Here is a 20,475-nt window from a genome sequence, read left to right as displayed (position 1 = left end):
ACCACCCTCCGACGGCTGCAAGCTGGGACCCGGCCTGTAGGCGGGATTTGCCCAGGAACAGGCGTGGGTTGGCTGCTGTCCCGGGCATTGGTGCATTCTTGACCCCGCCCTCGGGAAGGCCTCAAGCATAGCCCTGGCGTGGGATAGGAGAGGCAGACTGCTTGCAGAATGTCTGCCCCGGGCATCAGCATGGCCAGGCCCTGGGACTCAGGTCCTGCCTCCTCTGTGCTGCAAAGGGCAGACAGGATCTAATGCTCCAGGCCCATACAGCCCCTTCCCACTGCGCCCACGCTGGTGCCCGGGGCAGACATGGTGAGTGCACCGAAGCCCTCGGCCCCCTCAATCCTGCTAAGGCAGCAGCAGTCTTCCCGGGGAGGATCCTAGGCCCTGCTGCTGGACAGGACTTTTACTCTGGCTAGACCGGCTCTGAGAGCCCAGCCAGGTCTGGCCATCTCCGCATCCTTAGACTGCAGAAACCTAGGGTGAGAACAGTTTCTGTGGGGGCTGTTTTCCAGGGAGGCATGGGGTACCCTCTTGGGTGAAGACCCTCAGATGCCCTTAGACCGGAAGTACCCCCACCCAAAGTGTGGCGCAGGCCAGCCTCAGCCATTGAACCCAGCTCCCGGGATGTCCTGGCCACGACACGTTTGGTGGCATCGACACCAGCCCTGAAATCAGAGCCCTGGGCTCACGGCTCACCCTGGCCTGTCCCAGTGATTTAACCCTGGACAGGCAGTTGCTTGTGTGGGCCTCAGCTTTGACACGTGTGAACTGGGAGTCAAAATGCGCCGCGCAGAGAGGTCTGGGTGAGACGGGGTGAGGCGTCCCCATTCCCCAGGTAGACATTTAATGAAGCAAGCGAACGAGAAACTGTGTCATTACCACGAAGGCTATGGCGCATATGGGGGGCGTCCCAGGTGCCGCCGAGGAAGCAACTTCAAATGAGGGAGCTGCAGCCGCAAGTCCCCCGGCACCGCGGATGTACGGCTCAGGAAATGGCAGCTGACAGGATCCTAATTCCCAGGGGTCCTGTTTAGGGTGACTCTTATCCTCCTACCACCCCAGCCTTAAGGCAGAACTTCCTGGACAAAATCCAGGCCTCCCCCCAACCGCCCCCCCTCCCTCCCCCAGCAAAATGTGGCCCAAGAAGTGAGCAGGGGGCTGCAGACAGAGAGGGAGGGCAGGAGAGGGGCAGGGGCTGGACCCCACCCAGGGAGATCCCGGGAAGAGGGGCCCACTCGCCGCCCTGGATCGGGAAATCCCGGCTGGCCACGTGCCACCACCTCCCTGCCACCCCATCCGTCACCAGCCAGACACATTTCCGATCCTGCCAAGCTGGGGTGGGGCGGCGTGGCACGGAGGATCGGCTCGGCTTCCCTGCTCCCCCCGCCCATCCTTTCTGCTGCCTGCGTGTAATTAACAGAGTAATTAAAAACAGGATGAGTTAATTGGTATTCATTTATGTGGCAGATGTTTTTAATTGAGGCAGGAAACAATTTACCTGTTTACATCAACAATGGCAGAGGCAGGCTTGTAAAACACATTTTTAAAAATATTTTCCTCCCCTTTCCTAGAAAGAATTGAAATCACTTGGTCTCCCTTGCCCCAGGCCTCCGCCCTGTGAGAGCCGGGCAGGCCTTGCCTGGGGGAAGGCCCAGGGTGGGGGCGGAGCAGGGAGGTTCCGCCAAGAGGAAACATCTGTTTAAAAGGTTTGCCTCCAGAGCAGCCTGTTTTCTTTAAACTCAGAGAAAGGATGTGTTGTTCCAGGTTGTGGAGACACCCGTCCCGCTGCTCTCCAAGATGCCTCCCCAGTGAGTTTGGCCCTGCTGTTTAATGTAGCCCCCTGGCGAGGGGCTTGGCCTCCAGGAGGGCGGGAGGCAGCCTCAGGTGGGCCTGGCTGGAGGAAGACCACCCAGCTGGGGCTGGCAAGCAGGCAGGGCAGGGAGGGGCTGGGGACCCAGTCCTCCTGGCAGAATCCAGGAGCAGGCAGGTGTGGCTGCCCCACGGGGAGGCAGAGGCCGCCCTTGTCCACCTGCACTTTTGGTGCCTTTGGCATTGCGTGGTGGGGCCTCCTGCCACTCCGTCACCATGCACCACCTGTGGCCGTTGGAGTTTGAATTAATTAAGATGAAATATTCCTGGCCAGGGGTGGTGGCTTCCGCCTGTAATCCCAGCACTTTGAGAAGCCGAGGTGGGCGGATCACTTGAGGTCAGGAGTTCGAGACCAGCCTGGCCAACATGGTGAAACCCAGTCTCTATTTAAAAAAAAAAAAAAAAAAAATTGGCCGGGTATGGTGGTGGGCACCTGTAACCTCAGCTACTCGGGAGGCTGAGGCACAAGAATCACTTGAACCTGAGAGGCAGAGGTTGCAGTGAGGCGAGATCATGCCTCTGCACTTCAGCCTGGGTGACAGAGCGAGACTCCATCTCAAAAAAAGAAGATAAAATGTAAAATTCAGTTCTCCCCTCATAGGGCTTCCTTTCAAGTACTTGGCAGCCAGTTGGGGCTCCAGCGACTGTCAGTGCATGGGCCTAGAACATTCCACCGTTGCACAAGCTTCACTGGTCAGCTGACTTGCGAGTCCCTGGTGTGGGAGGACGGCAGGCCTCGGGCGCACACCGCCTGACCCTTTCACTATCTGGGGAAGGAGGGAGGCAGGAACGCCCACCCCAGGGAGCGGGTTGAATCCTTGAGCAGAGTGCTCGGGAAGCTGCTGGTTTACAGACTGGCACTAATTGAGCACTTGCTGTATGCCTGCACTTGTAAATCGCTTTAATTCTCATCAATTCTCATGCTGCTTCCCAAGGTAACTCTCCAGGGAGACGCTATCATTGGCCCCTTTGTGCAGATGAAGGAACCGAGGCCCAGGAGTTGCAGTGTGGGGCGGGGTCTGATGCGGCCTCCAGACCTGCATTGAAACAGTGTCCACGGATTACGTGGAGCGACACTGACTTTCCAACAGTTCCTCTTGTAGGCACCATCCTTGTCTTTCTTTTTAGAGTAAACATGCACCAGACTGCACGTGCTCAGAAGTAACTGGGGTCCCGCCCGGGGACTCCGCGGAGAGGCTGCTCTGGGTGGGAGGGAACACCCGCGCTTGCCCTGCACCATGCGTGCAGTTTGGAGAATTCGAGGAGTGGGTTTTGCCCTTGTGATCATGGCCATGGGCACTGAGCTTCTTACCCGTAAGGCTGAGTGAATACCGGGCGGTAGGGACAGCGCCTGAGGCCACGCTGATGTTAGGAATGTTTATTTAGAAATAGAGTGCTTGTTCCCTGGTGCTGCAAAGAAATAGCACTTGAACGTAAATTTAATTCTCTCAGCAAGGCCATATTTACTTTCTGCAGAAAGGGTACACTCGCCAGCAGTTTTGCCACGAGAGTACACCGAATGAAGGAGACCAGGGTCATTTATAACCTGACGCTGTGTCCGGTTTTTTTATACCTACTGCTGTGTCCGGTTTCCATTGGCTGGAACGGGACCTCACATTCTGTATTTGTCCCGATTGGCTCGCAACTTAGAACTTTTTAAAAGAGGCAAAGGCAGAGGAGAACAAAGGAAGGAGGAAGTAATTTGTGGAATGCTGAGAAAGGTAAAAACACCTTCAAATAAGGAAGAGGAACAGGCCGTGACCTAATGCTTGCTTCGACCAGTATAAACATGCCAGGGCAGATACTTAGGCTAAATTGTGGGAGCTAAGAACATAAAGTACATTGATTTCTTTATTAAGGCTAGCAGATATTTAAGAATGTCAGCACAGGTCTTTGAATAAATTTTGCTTCTAAGAGAAGTTACTGTTTATTCCTAATTAGACGGGGAGGAAAGTATCTTTGAAGGGGAACCTCTACTTTTTTACACTGATAACCCGGCGAGCCTGCAGCTCCGACCTCTCTCAGCACCAACCCTGGAGGCCGTGTGGCTCCAAGGTTCTCGGCACCCCCTGCCGTGGGAGGCCGGGCTGGGCCATGTGGGTGACCTGCCATGGAACTTCTGGGACATTTCAAAAGTTCTTAGGGCAAGAAGACAGAATGTTCTGGGCTGGGGGCTCTGGCCTGGGCATAGCTCTGCTCAGCCCTCCCTCCTGGAGGCATTGGAGGCCACCCAGCCTCCTGTGTGGGGCTCACAACATAAAACCAGCAACAGCCACAAATTTTGAGGAGGTTGGTGGGCCGCACGCTTGGAGCTCAGGGCCTGTGCCAGTAACCGTGTGGGCTCTGGAGGGGCGGGAGCCCCACCCTGTCCAGGAGGTGAGAGTGGCGAAGGCCTCCCCACGGCTGTGGGCTGGGACCTCGTTGTGATGCAGCTGGTCCCAGGGGCAGCCACAGCCCACACTGCGAAGGCAGGGGGATCAGGGCCCCTTCTGATGCCAGGGCAAGAGGACAGGGCCCAGGCCATGGTGGGGTCTTCTCCCAGGCCTCCCTTCACCCCCGGCCTGCAGGGATCAGGGAGGGCCCAGCTTGGTGCCTCAGTGTCAAAAAACTGAGAAGCAAAAGGCCATTTGTGCGCGTGTTTGCATTTGGGTGGGGGTGAGAAAGAAAAGCCACAGGCATCCCCGGCCCAGGGTCCTGGGGTCCCAGGGGCTTCCTGCAGTCAGCACCAGGGAGGCCACGCTGTCTCTCCATGGGGGCCACTTCCTGCACAGCCTGGCCATGCCAGCTCACAGGACGTGGCGGGAAGCCCCAGGGCAAAGCCAGCCCAGGCTGTCCACTCCTCCACTCCAGGGAGGCCACCTCTAAAGTCCTGTCTGGGCTGCTAGGATTTGTGGGTTTCGCCTGCACCGTCTCCTGGGGTCCCTCCACGCACCCCGGAGGGACAGAGGGGATTGTGACCCCACACTCTCGTCCGCACCCACGCTCTCCTCCGCACCCACTCTGTCGTCCACACCCACACTCTCGTCTTCACGCACACTCTCGTCTGCATGTGTGTGTCATACGTGCGCACATCACATGTCACACTTATGACACTGCTGGGGGTTGCTGGGGGAACATTCTGGCACTTCAGGGAAAACATTCTTGACTTGACGCAGGGGCACCATGAGCCGCCAGACCCTAATTATTCCTTAGCGTCCACACCGGCAGTGGCTGACTTTAAACTTGGCAGCCGCCCTCTGCAGAGTTCAAGGTGATTTGCAGCCAATTCACACATTTTTTTAAACAGCGACGACACTTTGGGAACCGGTGTAGCCTCCCCTGGCGCCTCATTGGTGGAAAATCCTAACAGAGGCCTCAGGTTTCCAGGGGTTTCCAGACCCTCCGCAGACAGCTGAGCCTTCCCTGCAGGCCCTGCACGTGGGAGGGTCCCGTTCCCAGGGCTGTGTGACCTGCCTGTCCCCAGCATCCCAGCCTCTGTGCCCTCCCCGGGGCAGGCCCTCCCCTCCCACGGTGGCACCTTTCTCCCACGGTGCCAGTTCCGCAGCCTTCAGAACCAGGTGCAGCCTCTTCCTGGAAGGTTCTCCGCTCCGCTTGTGTCTGGGGTTGTCTGTGGGACTTTCTGCTCCACACCTAAGTCCAGGCATGTGGCTGTGCAGAGGGCAGGGCCAGCTAACTCCTGCAGCCCGGGCCTGGGGTCAGCCGACAGCCGATGATCTCAGATTCCACCAGTTCTTCTCTTTTTTCCTTTTTCTTTTTTCTTTTTTTCCTTTTTTTTTTTTTTGAGACAGAGTCACGGTGTCACCTAGGCTGGAGTGCAGTGGTGGGATCTCAGCCCACTACAACCCCCACCTCCCTGGTTCAAGCGAATCTCCTGCCTCAGCCTCCTAAGCAGCCCTCTTTTTCTAAAAGAATCCGTGCTTCTGCGCCCGTCTAGTAACTGATACAACGTTCGAGACCCTGCCCTCCCCTCTGTTGGCCCCTCCACGCCTGTCTAGTAACCAATATGACAGCCAGCCTGACCTCCTCTCTGTTGGCCACTCCACCTAGCAGTCTCGCCTTCACCCCCAGGGGCTGTAGCAAGGAGGGGCCTGTGCCAGTGGCCAAGAGGCATTTTTAAAAATAAAACAAGGATGTGGCATACAATAAAGGGCTGGGAGGCAAGGAGGGAAGGCAAAGGAGCCCCCCATCCCCCTTCCCCACCCAGCCCACCCACCTCTCCCCAGGGGCCGCCCTTCTTCCTTCCAGAGAAGCTCTGTCTGCAGATCAGACCACCTTTCACTCAGGCCGGAGTGTTCTGCAGCCATCCCTGAGGTCACACAGCCCTTACCAGACAACATGCACACGCAACACCCACCCCACGAATACACACAGGAATACACACGCACACATACACCCACATGTGCACGTGAGTGCACACACACACGGACACAGCCATGCACACGCATGAATACGCATATGAATACATACACCCCCATGTATGTGTAAGTGCATATACACGGACACACACCCATGCACACACATGAATACACGCATGAATACACACGCATACACCCACATGTATATGTAAGTGCATATACACAGACACAGCCATGCACACGCATGAATACACACATGAATACACACACCCACATGTATATGTAAGTGCATGTACACGGACACACACCCATGCGCACACATGAATACACGCATGAATACACATGCACACACACCCACATGTACACGTGAGTGCACACATACACGGACACACACCCATGCACACACATGAATACACACATGCATGAATACACATGCACACATACACCCATGTGTACACGAGTGCACACATATACACACGGACACACACCCATGCACACAGGCACCCATGGACACACATGAATACAGACCCATGCACCCACGTACACTCATGCATGCACACTCACACGCACACATGCCTAATGGATAGAGGGCACCGTGACGCTCCTGAGAGGGGAAGGTGGCAGGGAGTGGCCCAGAGAGGGCGAGATTCTGACTGAGGTGACCAGCCACACAGCCCACCAGGGCGCCCGCCCACCCTGTGTCTAGCCCACGTGTCTGCTCGTTCTCTGCACTTCCCCCTTAACACTCCCCCCCCACGCTCCCCCTTCCACGCTCCCCCTCCACGCTCCCCCCGTCCACGCTCCCCCGTCGACGCTCCCCCTCCACACTCCCCCGTCCACGCTCCCCCTCCACGCTCCTCCTCCACACTCCCCCCTCCACGCTCCCCTCTACGCTCCCCCCTCCACGCTCCCCCCGTCCACGCTCCCCCGTCCACTCTCCCCCTGTCCACGCTCCCCCTCCACGCTCCCCCTCCACACTCCCCCCGTCCACGCTCTCCCCGTCCATGCTGCCCCCGTCCATGCTGCCCCCTCCACTCTCCCCTCCTCCACGTTCCACTCCTCCACGCTGCCCCCGTCCACGCTCCCCCCTCCACGCTCCCCCCTCCATGCTGCTTGTGGAGCTCCTGAAGGAGCTGTCCCTCCTCTGAGTTGAGATCAGACTGGAGAATTCACTCAGATAGGCAGACCCAGAGCAGGAGGCCACCACCCACCAGTTTCCCCACCCCGCGACCCACCCATAGGCCCCCCAGCCCCATCTCCTCCCCACCCCACACCCACGCCTCCTCCCCACCCCACACCCACGCCACCACCTGGCGGCACCCCCAGCACACGGATCCTCAACGGAAGCTTGCTTGTCTGCAATTCGGCTGCCTCCCTTGGTGGCTTGGGGGCATGGAGACAAGAGAAGGGACCCGCTACCCCCAGGACTCCCAGGGTGCCAGGGCCAGTGCTGGGTAAGGACAGCGCCCCTTCCTCCCTCCACCCCTGCCCCCGGCTGGCAGCCACACCCCCACCCCCACCCCGCCCCGGCAGCGGGCGGCCCAGATTGTGGGGCCACCTCCCCCAGGGCGCTCAGGGAGTTGCTGTTGGCAGCGCAGCTCTAGCAGCTGGGCAAGGAATGTGCTTCCTTTGTGTGCGGCCACGGGGCAAGCAGGCCCCAGACATCTGGGTCCCATTTGCGGCCCTTTGGGGAGCAGGGAAGATTTTTCACTCCAGCCTCTGAGCTCACCACTCTCCCCCAGCCTTTCCAGGCTTTGCTCAACCGGCAGGGTGCTGTAGAAGACCAGGCCCTGGGCACTGTCCACAGGGTGCAGGGCAGAGGGTCAGGGCACCTTTGATGGCACCTTTGATGGCTAGGGGCTCTGGGCTTAAGCCAGAGGACAGGCCCAGACTCACCCTGGTCGCTTTAAAAACATGGCAAGACTGTGATGGCTGCGACAGCGTCCTGCCCGGCAACCACGATCACATTTTTGGTCTAGTCGTCTTTCTGTGCGTGTTTTTATTTCCAAAATAGAACCTCATGCTTTGTCGCCTTGTTGATGTTCACTCATAGGGGATGTCAATAGAGAGCGTCCCGTGACATCATTTTTGCAATTAAATGTATGCTCGCAGCACTGCACACAGAAGTGTGCACCACAAAGCATCACGTGCACACGGCTATGGGCCTGACAAACGTTTTCCGACCTGTCCCCAAGGCCTCCGATCCCCCTCTGGTCACTGCGCTGTCAGGGTGGCCACCATTCCTGACCTCTAGCATCACAGAGTGTTGCTGCCTGATTCTGAATTTTCTAGAAACGGACTCTCGCATCCCATGCTCTGCGGGGCCTGGCCACCGCGTTTGTGAGAGACCGCTTGCAGTGCTGTACATTTGTGAGACCGTGTGCAGTGTTGTACTTGGTGGGCCTGTCCTTTTTCCTTGCTGTATTGTATTCCATTGTATGGCCGTGCTGCAGCCTCGTGTCCCTCTACCTCGGTGCACGCTTGCTGAGGAAGTGGCCGGTGCAGCTGTGGCTTGTTGCTCTGGAGGCACCTGTGTCTGTGGGTTGGCTCTTCTGCAGGTTCTGTGCCCAGGAGTGAGCCGGCTATTCCAGCAGCTGTGACTGTTCCAGTCAGCAGATACCAACAAACAGCTTTCCAAAATGAAGGTGGCCACGGTGTGATTTTCAGGTTCCTTAGTTTTGTGTCGAGTAGATAATTTATCTACCCAGCCCTCTCTGAGGAGTCATCGTATTTATTCCGTTTGTCATTCTCATAAACGATGCTGTGACAAACATCCTTGTAGATCACTGTTTGTGCACATGTCCTGAGAATGCATTCCTGAAGGTGGAATTGCTGGTCCCGGCTGAGACCCCCCCACGGAGGAATGAGGTGTGGAGTAGCGGAGGGCAAGTGCAGCATTGGCATCTGAGGCCTGGTTCGGCTAGAGACAAGATGGGTCACTTCTCTTCTCCAGCTTCCCAGCCTCCCTCTCACCAGCTGTGAAATTTGATTGTCTCTCAGGTCCCTTGCAGCTCTGATATGTTGAGATTCTAAGTACCAAAGTGTATCAGTCAGCTATCGCCATGTAACAAGCTACCCTCAAACAGTGGCTCAAAGCAACCACCCTTCTTTGGCTCACAGTTCTTTAGGTTGGCAGTTTTGGCAAGCTCAGGGGGGTGGTTCTTCTGGGCGTGGCTGGGTTTGCTGGCTGGTCCGTGGTCAGCCACGGTCAGTCCAGCTCCACCAAGTGGCCGGGCCAACCCTGTCCTGCGTGTGTCTCATCTTGGGCGTGTTCACGTGGGGGCTCCACAGAGGGCTAGTGGGGCTGCCCGCCGCTGACGTCCAGGCTCAGGGTCATCTGACATCCCTTGTGCCACATCCTGCCCCCAGCCAAAGCAAGTCCCCCGGCCAGCCCAGATCCAGGGGGCAGGGAAGTGGACCCCGCCTCTGCACTGGAAGAGCTGCAATCCCATCGAAAGGGCAGGGGCTTTGGCAGGGTGGGAAATCGAGGCCATTAGCAGGAAACGCGCCTTGGGGGAGAGGGCCCTGAATAGCCATGACCGGCATTCCCTGGCCTCCTGCTGCAGGACAGACTCAATTAGCTCCTTATTCCTCAGACGCACCCCCGGGAGGTGTGTTCCTCCCACTTAATGGATGAGGGGAGCTGCCTGCTGGGCTCACACGGCAGAGGGGACAGGCCTCGATTCAAGCCCAGCCCAGGCTCTGTCCTGCAGCAGCGAGCCGCCCCGTTGAACCTGCAGAGGACAGGGCTGCCAGGGGAGGCAGATAGGGGGCTTTGTCCTTATGCGCCAGTCAGCAAACCTTTACGGGGCCCTGCCGTGTGCCAGGTGCTGTTCAGGGCCCTGCCCTGGGGGAGACGGGCGTAAACACGAGGACCAACACAGACGGAGGCTTCAGACATTGACGAGTGGCTGGAGAAGAAAAATGGGTGATGGGGCAGAGAGCGTGGGGGCAGGGACATGGGCGGTCAGGGAAGGCTTCTCTGAGGAGGGACATTTGCGCCAAGACCTGAATGATGAGGAGACGGCTATGCAGAGATCGAGGGAAGTATTCCAGTAGGAGCCAAGGCCCTGAGGCCAACGGGAGGGACAGAAGCACAGCTGGCGTGGCTGGCCAAGACTGACGGAGAGACCCCCAGCCCATCTGTCCCCATCTGGCCCCAGGACGCACAGCACACTTTGTCCCATCTTCCGCATTTCTTTGGCGAGCCCTGGGTTCACTTGCAGGGTGCAGCTATCCAGAGAGCCTTCTTGGTCCTCAAAAACCCATGAGGGAGGCTTTCTTCTCTCCTTGGGAAAGGAAGAGGCAAGGCCAGGTCCGCCTGGAGCCACGTAGTGGGTTGGGGAGGCGCGGGTGGGCCCAGCCTGCAGGCAGAGGCCGGCCTGTGCACCTTCCAACGGGAAGCCCTGGGCCGGGGCCCGGAGGGAGTTTGTGAGATTTTCGTCTGCTACGGTTCAGCAGCACTTCTGTGACAGACGGGACCTCTGCACCCAGGCCGGCTGAAGGCATGCCCTGGGTACCTGTTCGTGTTGGTGATGGCAGCCGGTGGGCAGTCTGGGCCCTGCCAGCCAACTCTGGGCAACAGAGCTTCCCCCACACAGCTGCGAGGCAGGAGGGGGGGTCTTCACTGTGCCCCAGAGGCTCTCCGATGGGTCCCCTTCCCCAACACTGATGCTCAGTGTCACCTATGGGCCAGCTCTGGGCACAGTGCCAAAGACAAGCCCCACCTGCACCAGCTCCACGCGGCCGTTGTGGCCGGACAGATAGCCCGAAGCATGACAGCTGGGTGGCCAGGGCGAGCGGCCAGGCGCTCTGTTCTAGACGCTTTTCGTGAGCTCATGTACTTCGTCCCTCCGTGATTCTGCGGGAATTCCATCCCCATTCCCATTTTACAGATGAGAAAACTGAGGCCAGATTAGGAGACGGAAAAGCCAACTCCGTTCCTGCAGGGAGAGGGCGCCTGAGGTTCCCGTTCCCTCCCTGCCCCTGTCCTTCAGATCGCCAGAGATGACGTCCCCGTGGCAGGGCCACAGAGGGCTTTTGAGTTTACGAAAGCCTTTTTGTTTGCTGTGACCCCACCCAAAGAGGCACTGCATCTTACCCAAGGGGAGCCAGAGACTCATACACATTTGGGGACGGCCCCCACCCCGAGTTCACAGTCAGTTCACACAGCGGCGCGGGAGGCGAACTGGGTTTCCTGCCACCTGGCCCCGCTCTGTTGCCATGGCAACCCCGTGCCGTCCATCGTCATCACCCACAGGCCTTGGGGTCAGGGTCCCTTGTTCCTGTCCACGGCGGGAAGGGCAGCAGGAGTGAGTGAGTGGGGCCAGAGGAAGGGTCCGCCCTGGGTCAGGCCCATGAGGACCTGGAAGGGCCTGGGAGAGAAATAGGACTTGGCTCCTTGTCCCTGTGGGGGCGGGAGGGTCTGCCTAGACCGATGGCAGAGAAGGCACTGCTCCCCGTGTTTATATGGCTGCTTATTCGCCAGGCAGGAAGGCTGGATACAAGCCAGATGTGGAGGCGGCCGCAGGGCAGCGCCTGAGGCTCTCAGGCCGCCTCTGCCCACCCCAGATCCCCACACTTGGCACAGCCCTGGAGGCTGGGGGCTGGGGGCAGGGGAGGGAGCCGCCTCCTGGTCATCTGGATACGAGGGGATTTGGGGGGACACCCACTGTCCTAGAGCCTGCCAAGAAGGGGCCCCACGTCCCTTCACTTTGCCTCTATCTTGGCCTGGGAGCCCCAGGTCTGATGCTGGTCAAAGACCTTCTCAGGGCCCTTCCCGGAGTCAGCACCAGGTTCTCCTCTGTTTCACATGCCCCTCAGGGGCACCAGAGAGTGGCACAGAGACCCCGCTGCGAGGGCCGCCCTGCACTGCTCACGCCATCCGCAGCTCACCCCACAGCTCTTCCTGAGGTGGGAGGGCACTGCCTGTCCCCACGCCTTCAGATGACGGTGGCTCCGGAGGACACTGAGGCTGGGAGTGTCCGGTCCTCAGTGGGCTGTGCCTTTCCAGGTTTTCTCAGTCACCACGCAGCAAGTGTTTGCTGAATGCCTGCAGTGTGGCCGGCACTGTTGTAGGCTGTAGAGGAAGCCCAGCCCTCCTGGAGCTCACGGGGAGCATCCACAAGAGAAGAGAAGGAGCAGGACAGGCGGGTGGGCTCACCAGCAGAGCTACAGGGAGAGCCGGTGACAGGAGGGGAGCCAGGGTGAAGGGCCGCGCGGGCTGCAGCATCACCGGGAAGGAGGCAGCCTGCAGCAAAGGTGTGAGGATGAGAGGCAGACTTGCGGGGACCTGGTGGAAGTGCATTCCCTGCAGAAACACCGCCATGCAAAGGCCCTGGGGCAAGTGCGGCGAGTGACCGAGGCACAGCACAGGCGGGTGTGGGGTAGTGCGTGTGGTTAGGCCAGAGGGGACAGCTGGTGAGGCCAGAGGGGACAGCCAGGCACCAAGCGAGGAACAGCCGGGCCACTGTGGCACTGGCCAAGCAGCTGGGGAGCCGCCGTGGGAGCCGCCGTGGACAGCTCTTGGGAAATGTGTTGGAGGGTGGCTCGTCCCTCTGGTTCCCCAGAAATCCAAGTGTACGGGTTTACCTTGGCCTGGGTTTACTGCACTGGACGGCTGCCCGGCCAAGTAGAGGCTGGAGTTCAGAGGCTGGGGCTCCATTCCTGGCTCAGCCCCTCACTCACTGCACGGCCGTGGCCAGTGACCTCAGATGACCTCACCTCTCAGGGGCAGCGTGGGTGCGGGGTCGTCCATCTCCGGGGCTGTGAGGAGGCGGGAGGGCGGCCGTGGACGGATGACTCTCGGGGTCTCCTCTTTGCACATCTGTGCCTTTCCCAGAGGAAGCTGTGGGACCGTGTGATTCTGAAGGAAAATAAACAGCTGTTTAAAGCAGTGGCGTCCTCCGTCCCAGCCGCCGTGATGGTCACCCGGGTTGCAGTGGCGTCTTCTGTCCCAGCTGCCGTCATGGTCACCCGGGTTGCAGTGGCGTCCTCCGTCCCAGCTGCCGTCGGGGTCACCCGGGATGTAGTGGTGTCCTCCGTCCCAGCCGCCGCTGGGGTTGCCTGGGATTTGCCAGTGACTGCCACGCGTGCATTCATGTCAACCCTCACCCCCATTGCACAGATGTGGACACTGAGGCTGCCCACCCAGGTTGCAGGGCCCGGAGCCTGAGCTCATCCCCTTAATTCTGCACTTTTATGGAGGGGCCAACTGAGGCACAGCACTGTTCTGGGTCCAGAGCCCGTCCTGGACCTGTCCTGAGCATCTCCGAGCCCTGCCTGCACCACAGCCCCAGAAAAGGCTTTGCAAGAGGCCTTGCTGGGCCTCTGAGGCTGGACTTTGGGGCATCCTGGGATGAGGGTTCGGCTGGAGTAACAGGAGAGGCCTGGAGCCCTCGGGTTGGTTGCAGGCCATGCCCTCCTCCTCCCCTGCCTGGGGCCTGTGGTCAGCTCCAGGAAGGGCAGAGCCGGTGCCCCCCGCTCCCCGGGAGCATATTCCAAACCCACGGAGAGGATCGGATCCAGAGCCAGGTGCCCAGGGCCCGTGCCTCAGTTTCCCCACCTGACAGCCTCTAGACTTTCGGGGGCACGAAATGAGGTGTTCTGCACAAAATGCTCAGGTCAGGCCTGGCACGCAGTAGGACGTCATCACCGTGGCTATGTTGCCTGTGCAAAGGCCTCAAGACAGGTCACCTGCGTTACCTGCCCAGCGTCCTATGCCCCAAGGCTTTTGTGAGGGGTCAAAGAAGGTTACAGCGGAAGCAGGGCTTGTTACTCCAGAGCTGGCGAGGGTACGAGGCGGGGAAGGCCGGAAAGATGAGCTCTTGCACTGGTGTCCATGGGTCCTCCTTCCATGGAGAGTTCTGGAACTCCCAGGCTGGGAGCCCTGGGCTGTGGCTGTTTCCCAGCTGGGCAGGGCGGGCTGGGTGCCCCCACGGACGGGGAAGTGATGGATGAGCGGCCCCGGCACATTGCAGGCTCTTTCCCACTGGCTCTGCCCAACCTGCAAAGCGGCTTCCTCTCCCGGCCCGTTAGTGACATTTTGCTGGGAACTGGATGTGCCGTCTGGGAAAGAAACGGCCTCTCCCATGGGCCCCGGGGAGCGGCCTCCAGGGTCTGGGAATTTTCTTTTTCTTTTCCTTTTTTTTTTTTTTGAAACAGAGTCTCGCTCCGTTGTCCAGGCTGGAGTGCGGTGGCACGAATTCGGCTCATGGCAACCTCTGCCTTCCAGGCTGAAGTAATTCTCCGGCCTCAGCCTCCTAAGTAGCTGGGATTATAGGCACGCACCACTACGCTCGGCTAATTTTTGCATTTTTAGTAGAGACGGGGTTTCACCATGTTGGCCAGGCTGATCCTGAACTCCTGACCTCAAGTGGTTTGCCTACCTTGGCCTCCCAAAGTGCTGGGATGACAGGTGTGAGTCACCACGTCTGGCAGGTCTGGGAACTTTCTTGATGAGTGGGAGCTTGGGAGGCAGATGAGGCTGCAGCCAGGGCTGGGGGAGGAACTGGCACTCTCTCCCTGTCCTCTTCCTTTAGACATCTGACCAGTTCCTGCATGCCCAGACCCTTTGGGGAAAACCGCATAGAGGGAAACCCAACATCAGGGCAGACTCAGGCATGCCCAGAGAGGGGCGCACTGTGTCCAGAGCCAGTGCCTGAGCCATCGAGGGTGGGAAGGACAGGCAAAGCCCCTGCTCTGGGGTGAGGGGACAATTAGAAGATGCCACCGTCAGTCATGGGCAGGGGGAGTGAGAAGGACACTTGGCAGAGGCCCAAGCCACAGAGGGAGGCCAGGAGGGCAGGTGCCTCCCCTCGGGGTTCCCAGGCTGCAGGTGCCCTCTGTGGCCAGTGGGGAAGGGGTAGCTGGGCCAGGTCACCTGGATCCACACCTGGCTCTCCCCCTCCTCAGCCTCTCTGTGCCTCTGTTTCCCCACTCGTAAGATAGAGAAGCGCAGGATCTCAGGGCCGCGGAAGAATCCGTGAGGACAGAGTTGGTCCTCTGTATGAGATTCCTCCCCTCCGGGCGTCAGAGCCCTTCTCGTCAGATTCCGCACCCGCTGCCCACCTGCCTCTGAGCCAGGGCCATAGGGAAGGGACTGGGACCCAGACTGACCCCACCCACCCCAGCAGGAGGACCTCAGTGCTGTTCTGAGCCAGGGAGGGGTTAGGATACTTGTGTAGGCCACAGGAGGATAGCCAGGGTGGGGACAGCAGGTGCCCCAGGGACCCCCTTGTGCTGGGCGGCCAGGCCTCGGGAGCCCTCCCCAAATTCCATGCTTTCTTCTGCACGGGCAGCGCTGGGCCTCGGGAGCTGTTTGAAAATACATGTGGGTGTCCTCGGGGACCGGGGTCCCCTTGCAGCTGATGTAGAGTTCAGGGATGCTGGAGGCCTCGTTTCTCTTTCATGGGCACTTCGAGCTCTGGAAAGAAAACCCCTTGGGGTTTGAAAGATGGTCCTTCCGCTCATGCCTCAGAGCCGGCCACCCCAGGTGCTACCCCAGACCCTGTATGGTGACGGGCCACCCACCCCAGCCTCCAGTACGAGCCAGCGTCCCTTCGGCCTATGTGACACCCACAGGGCCGCGTGTCCCAGCGTGGGGCTGGATGCCTGGGCTGTCCCAGCAAGGCTGAGTCAGGGTCCAGGCTGGCTGGCATCGGGACCGTTTAATCTCCTGGGGGCTGCAGGCACATGCCCTGGTGCTTCTGGGCTCTGAGACCCAGAACAAGTCACTCACCCTCTCTGGGCCTCAGTTTCCCCGTCTAGAAAGTGGGCGTAGTGACAGGGCCCGCCTCATGGGGCAGCGGGTAGACGGTGCTGAGAATAGGCCTGGGGCACCAGGTTCCTCCGTGACATTAGCCCTTCCTGCCACTTCTCTATTCTGCCTTGAGACAGAGACGGTCCCCTTTCTGGCGCTGCTGAGCCCCCGGGGTTGCCTCAGGGCCATTGCACCAGGACACTGGTGTCTACTGTGAAGCTCTGTGCGATTTTATTTTTCCAAGTGGTTTGATGACTTATTCACCTCCGTGTGTCTGGACGGGGCCGTCTTGCGGCTGGAGCGGGGAGCAGGGTCAGCAAGTGGTCTTGGGGACGAGGGGATGCGGCCAGGCCTCTTCCTGTGTGGTTCGCAGCCGTGGGCTGGTAGCCCACGGGGCCTCCGAGCCTCGAAGTGGGTCTGCGGAGTAGAAATGGCCTGTGGCCGAGGTGCAGGGCCTCAAAGGGGAATGGGGTGGGAAGCCAGGCACCTAGGAAGGACGAGGCTGCCCCTGTCTAGCGGTGTCTTAGCCTGGAGAGGAGCCTGCAGTTGGCCTTGGTGGAGCTGTGGGCCGGTGGGAGCTCCAGAGACTCCCCACACTGCTTGGGGGTGCAGGGATAGAGGAGGATAATAATAGCCACCATTTCGAGTGATGGCGGAGAGTGCTGGACCCCCCTGCTGCGCACGGCCTCATCTCCATCCCCTTTGAAGAGGCAAGGAAATGGACAGAGAGGCTGTGGCTTGCCCGAGGAAGCCAGGCCGGCAGGACTCAGCCTCCTGCTGTGGCTGTGGGGTGGACCCACGGTGCCTCCCTGCCCAGCCAGCGCCAAGGAAATGGGTGTCCAGGGCAGCCATGGGTCTCCTGCCCTGAGCAACCAGCCCCCCATGTCTGCAGAAAGCACCTGTCCTGCAGCTGGGCAGCCCAGCCCCTCCCACCTGCCGCAGACTAGCTCTCAGCCCCGCCCCCTCATCCCCACCGTCCTTCAGCCCCGCCCCTCCAGTCCCGCCCCTCCTTCAGCCCCGCCCCTCCAGCCCCGCCCCTCCTTCAGCCCCGCCCCTCCTTCAGCCCCACCTCCCCTCAGGCCCGCCCTGATCATGGCGCTCCACTCACCCCACTTCCATCTTTGCTCTCCTCCAGCCCCTAAGCGGGGGCTGGGGGAACCCAAAGAGGCATTTCCTCTGGGGGCCTTCCTTTGAAGGCTACCCTGGGCGAGCTGCATCCTGGGGGGCCCAGTCAAGCACAGAGACCCTGCAAACAGGTCAAACAAGAGGCAGGACCGCCCAGTGTGGGGTGACATCCTGAGGACTGAACAGGGAAGGATGGAAGAGCTTCACGGGGGCGGGGCAGCCTCTCCTGGGGAAGTGAGGTTGAAGCTGAATCCCAGAGGGAACGAGGGGCGGTGGGGGGTCGTGCATGGCCCTGAGCCCCGCACTGGGGGAGAGCAGGGAGATGGGTGTCATGGAGTGGGTGTGGGCTGGTGAAGCCCCATGTACAGTGGAAGCTGCTGAAGGGTATTAAGCAGGAGAGAGACGATGTGCCCGCCCCAGAGACGGCGCCAGCTGCTGCTGTGCAGAGCTCCAGACTCCCCGCTGCCCACTCCCCCACCCCCCTCCTTCCCAGGTCCCTCCACAGGTCCTGGCCAACTCCTAGGCTGTTCTCTTGGCCACAAATGCTGTTCCTCTACCTTTCCACACTCACCCCTCATCTTCTCTGAGGGTCCTTGTCACTTTCTGCTTTCTCGGGTAGAGTCTGTGCCAGGGGCAGCGCCAGGAGCAGGTCCCGGCCACACGTTGCTCCATGAGCCTTGGCCTGGTTTCCTTGCTTGCCAAGGCAGGGCGTGGGGAACTCCGCGTCATCTTCCTGTCACCTGGCTTCCTCCACATGTACAGAGGAAGGAAAGTGAGGCTCAGAGAGGGGAAGAGGCTCTCCCTAGGCCACACAGCCAGGAGCACTCACACAGGATTCAACAGACACCCGTGAGGTCCCATCACCTGCACAGCTGCCCCCGCACAATCCGGGGTGGGGCCCGGAAAGGTCCCATCTCCTGCACAGCTGCCCCCGCACAACCCGGGGTGGGGCCTGGAGAACGGAGGGGAGGACACCACCAGCTCCCAGGGTGTTCCTCAGGCACGGGGCCTCCTGCCCCTGCAGCCTCCGTTCGGCCTCAGGTTTGAATCCCAGACCTGCTGCCTCTTTGCAAGTACCTTGAGGCCTAAAAGGAGGCAAGCGTGTTGATGACAAGCGGAGACTTTGGAGTCCTGCCGAGTCCTGGCCCTGTGGGGGCAACACCAGGTCGTGGTTCCGATCCCGGCCCGCAGCACACTCGCGGTGTGACCTTGGGTAGATGACTTCATCTCTCCGAGCCTGGTCCGTCCTAGTAAAATGGGCTGATGGCAGCATCAGCCGCAGAGGGTCTCGGTGAGGATGCAATGAGTCGTCGATATCTGCAGAGCACCGAGAAGGATCTTCCTGCAGTGAGCCTCTGTCCAGGCCTCTGAAGTAAAGGGACAGCCTCCTGTTCTGCCCAAAGGGAACCACATGAAGTCCCCGACTGCTCAGGGCGCCGGCAGGGCACTGTCTGCTCTAGCTTCGGGATCCAGAGTGTCACGAGCACGCAGGTGGTGGCCGTGAGCACGCAGGTGGTGGCCATGAGCCCTTGTTGGGTGACGGCTGTGGTGACTCCTTGCGCCGTGGCATGACGGCCCAGCGGTCTCCTGGCCACCCTCTCCACCTTAGGAAATGTGGCATGTCCGTCCATCCTACGAGCGCCCGTCCAGCGCCCGGCACCAGCTCCCCAGTGGGGCTCTCTGCATCCACTTCTGTTTTATTCAAGTCTCGTGGCTCAAATGTAGCCGCCTCCATGGGAGGGCTTTGGAAAGTCCAAACAGGGGGCATCCCCAGTGTCCTGGACCTGTGTCCCCCGAGCCAGCCTGGCGTTTGAAGCTCTCGGCCACATCCCTGCCTGCTCCCTTCTGGGCATGCCCAACCCACGCTGGCCCAAGGGCAGCCTGGTCTGGAAGGGCTGCCCCCACCAGGAACGCCCCCCCCAGGAATGCCCCCCCAGGAACGCCCCCCCCCCCAGCCGGGAACACCCCCACCACAGGAACACCCTGCCACATTCACCTTCTTTGGTTGTCACCAGGGACTGGCCACCGGCCCTGCAGCCAGGCGGTGTTGATGGCCCCCACAGCTGTGGCCACACGTGTGCCCAGCCATCAGCCTCCGGACAGGCGGGTGGCCAGGAGGAGCAGGGCGCCCTGTGCGAGGGAGGTCAGCGGCTGTGCGGAGGGGACAGCAGGTGCCGCGAGGCCTGTGGCTGTTTACTGGCTGCTTCCTCCCCCCACCACTCCCCACAGGCCCAGCAGAGGGGGACTGCTCCACTCCTGCCTGGAGCACCAGGGGCCGGTTAGAGCCCAGGCGCCACTGCCCTGAGATGTTGGGCAGGACCTCAGCACCTCTGAACCTCTCTGCCTCTCTGTAAAAGGAGCCGGCGGCAAGAGGATCAGCAGAGGTTTGTGCCGTATTTGGCATGTGATCGCTGTAGAAGTCATTTATCCGTCACCTTCCACAGAGTCCGCGTGGCCGTGGCCCTGGGTGGATCTCTCCGTCTGACGATGGTGCTGGGGCCCCGGGAATGGGGAACGGGCAGAAGCAGGGGCAGCGCCCACAGTTGACTAATAACACGACAGATACCAGCCCCCAACTGTGGCCTCACCTGTTTCATGCCCCAGGCTGTGGGTGAGACCCATAGGTGTTAACAGGAGGAGGGTGCAGGGCAGTCGTGGGTGAGACCCACAGGTGTTAACAGGAGGAGGGTGCGGGGCAGTCGTGGGTGAGACCCACAGGTGTCAGCAGGAGCAGGGTGCGGGGCAGTCGTGGGTGAGACCCACAGGTGTCAGCAGGAGCAGGGTGCGGGGCAGTCCGGTATTCAGCAGATTGAGGATGCCTACCTTGCTGCTCTAAGCCGCTGAGGCCCCCGAAGTCTCAGCCACGGATAGCAGGTCTTTCTGCCTTGCTTTGGCACTGGCTGACCTTGCCTTAAGATAAATGGGGAGGCCCTGGGGCTTACACCCGCACCCCCTGCAGAAAATGCCGCAGACAGGGTGCTGGCTTGGCCTCCTGGTGTCTCGGGCACGTCTGTGCTGCAGGCCCTTCGGTTAACCTTGTCTGCAGGTCCTGCTCTCTGGGTGGCACAAGGGGGCTCCGTGCCCCCCAGTCCCGGCCCACCAGCGCCTTGAGCGTTTTCCTGCCGTCTCCGGACACAGCTGGCCCTGGGTGGAGCTTCTCAGACTTCAGGGAGCCTCAGACCACGAGGGAATCTTGTTCAGCTGCAGGTTCTCATTAATCACGTGTCCTGGCGTTACCACCTGCCGGGGGCTGCGCCCAGCGCAGCCAGGCCTCGGCCATCCTGAAGTCAATGCCGCCTCTGTCTTGGCTGTCCTGTGAATCACCGGGGCAGAAGACGGTTAAAATAGAGGTTTTGCCGCCCT

At 60.2% G+C, this 20,475-nt stretch overlaps 1 protein-coding gene and 1 long non-coding RNA gene across 8 annotated transcripts in view, besides 4 other annotated features; one reads left to right on the top strand and one right to left on the bottom strand.

The window, feature by feature from the left end:
- CBFA2T3 (CBFA2/RUNX1 partner transcriptional co-repressor 3) overlaps positions 1-20,475 on the top strand; it is a 102,350-nt gene that overhangs the window by 54,483 nt on the left and 27,392 nt on the right. The gene's annotated exons all lie outside the window — the stretch shown is intronic.
- Positions 946-1,025: an enhancer, noted in NCBI's record as "active region_11375". NCBI's record gives its function as "activates an Ori minimal core promoter by ATAC-STARR-seq in GM12878 lymphoblastoid cells {active_cell/tissue: GM12878}" and the evidence as "EXISTENCE:reporter gene assay evidence [ECO:0000049][PMID:35858748]".
- Positions 9,380-9,595: a silencer, noted in NCBI's record as "fragment chr16:88979538-88979753 (GRCh37/hg19 assembly coordinates)". NCBI's record gives its function as "represses an EF-1alpha promoter that drives an FKBP-Casp9 reporter gene in an ReSE screen in HepG2 liver carcinoma cells {active_cell/tissue: HepG2}" and the evidence as "EXISTENCE:reporter gene assay evidence [ECO:0000049][PMID:32094911]".
- LOC102724632 (uncharacterized) lies at positions 14,470-18,968 on the bottom strand. Of its 2 annotated transcripts, XR_429796.4 has the most exons (4): positions 17,684-18,968; positions 17,096-17,233; positions 16,252-16,404; positions 14,470-15,651 (listed from the first exon to the last, which is right to left on the bottom strand). It is a non-coding gene; the product is annotated as an uncharacterized LOC102724632 (long non-coding RNA). The 2 variants fall into 2 exon arrangements; XR_007065182.1 differs by lacking the exon at positions 17,096-17,233 and having other exon boundaries at positions 15,426-15,651.
- Positions 16,938-17,077: a silencer, noted in NCBI's record as "silent region_7884". NCBI's record gives its function as "represses an Ori minimal core promoter by ATAC-STARR-seq in GM12878 lymphoblastoid cells {active_cell/tissue: GM12878}" and the evidence as "EXISTENCE:reporter gene assay evidence [ECO:0000049][PMID:35858748]".
- Positions 19,857-20,400: an enhancer, noted in NCBI's record as "H3K4me1 hESC enhancer chr16:88968733-88969276 (GRCh37/hg19 assembly coordinates)". NCBI's record gives its function as "activates a minimal SCP1, AML or CMV promoter by ChIP-STARR-seq in naive H9 embryonic stem cells {active_cell/tissue: H9 hESC(naive)}" and the evidence as "EXISTENCE:reporter gene assay evidence [ECO:0000049][PMID:30033119]".

Source organism: Homo sapiens, chromosome 16 (assembly GCF_000001405.40).
Source record: "Homo sapiens chromosome 16, GRCh38.p14 Primary Assembly".
Taxonomy (NCBI): Eukaryota; Metazoa; Chordata; class Mammalia; order Primates; family Hominidae; genus Homo; species Homo sapiens.
This window is presented reverse-complemented; position numbering and strand designations above follow the sequence as displayed.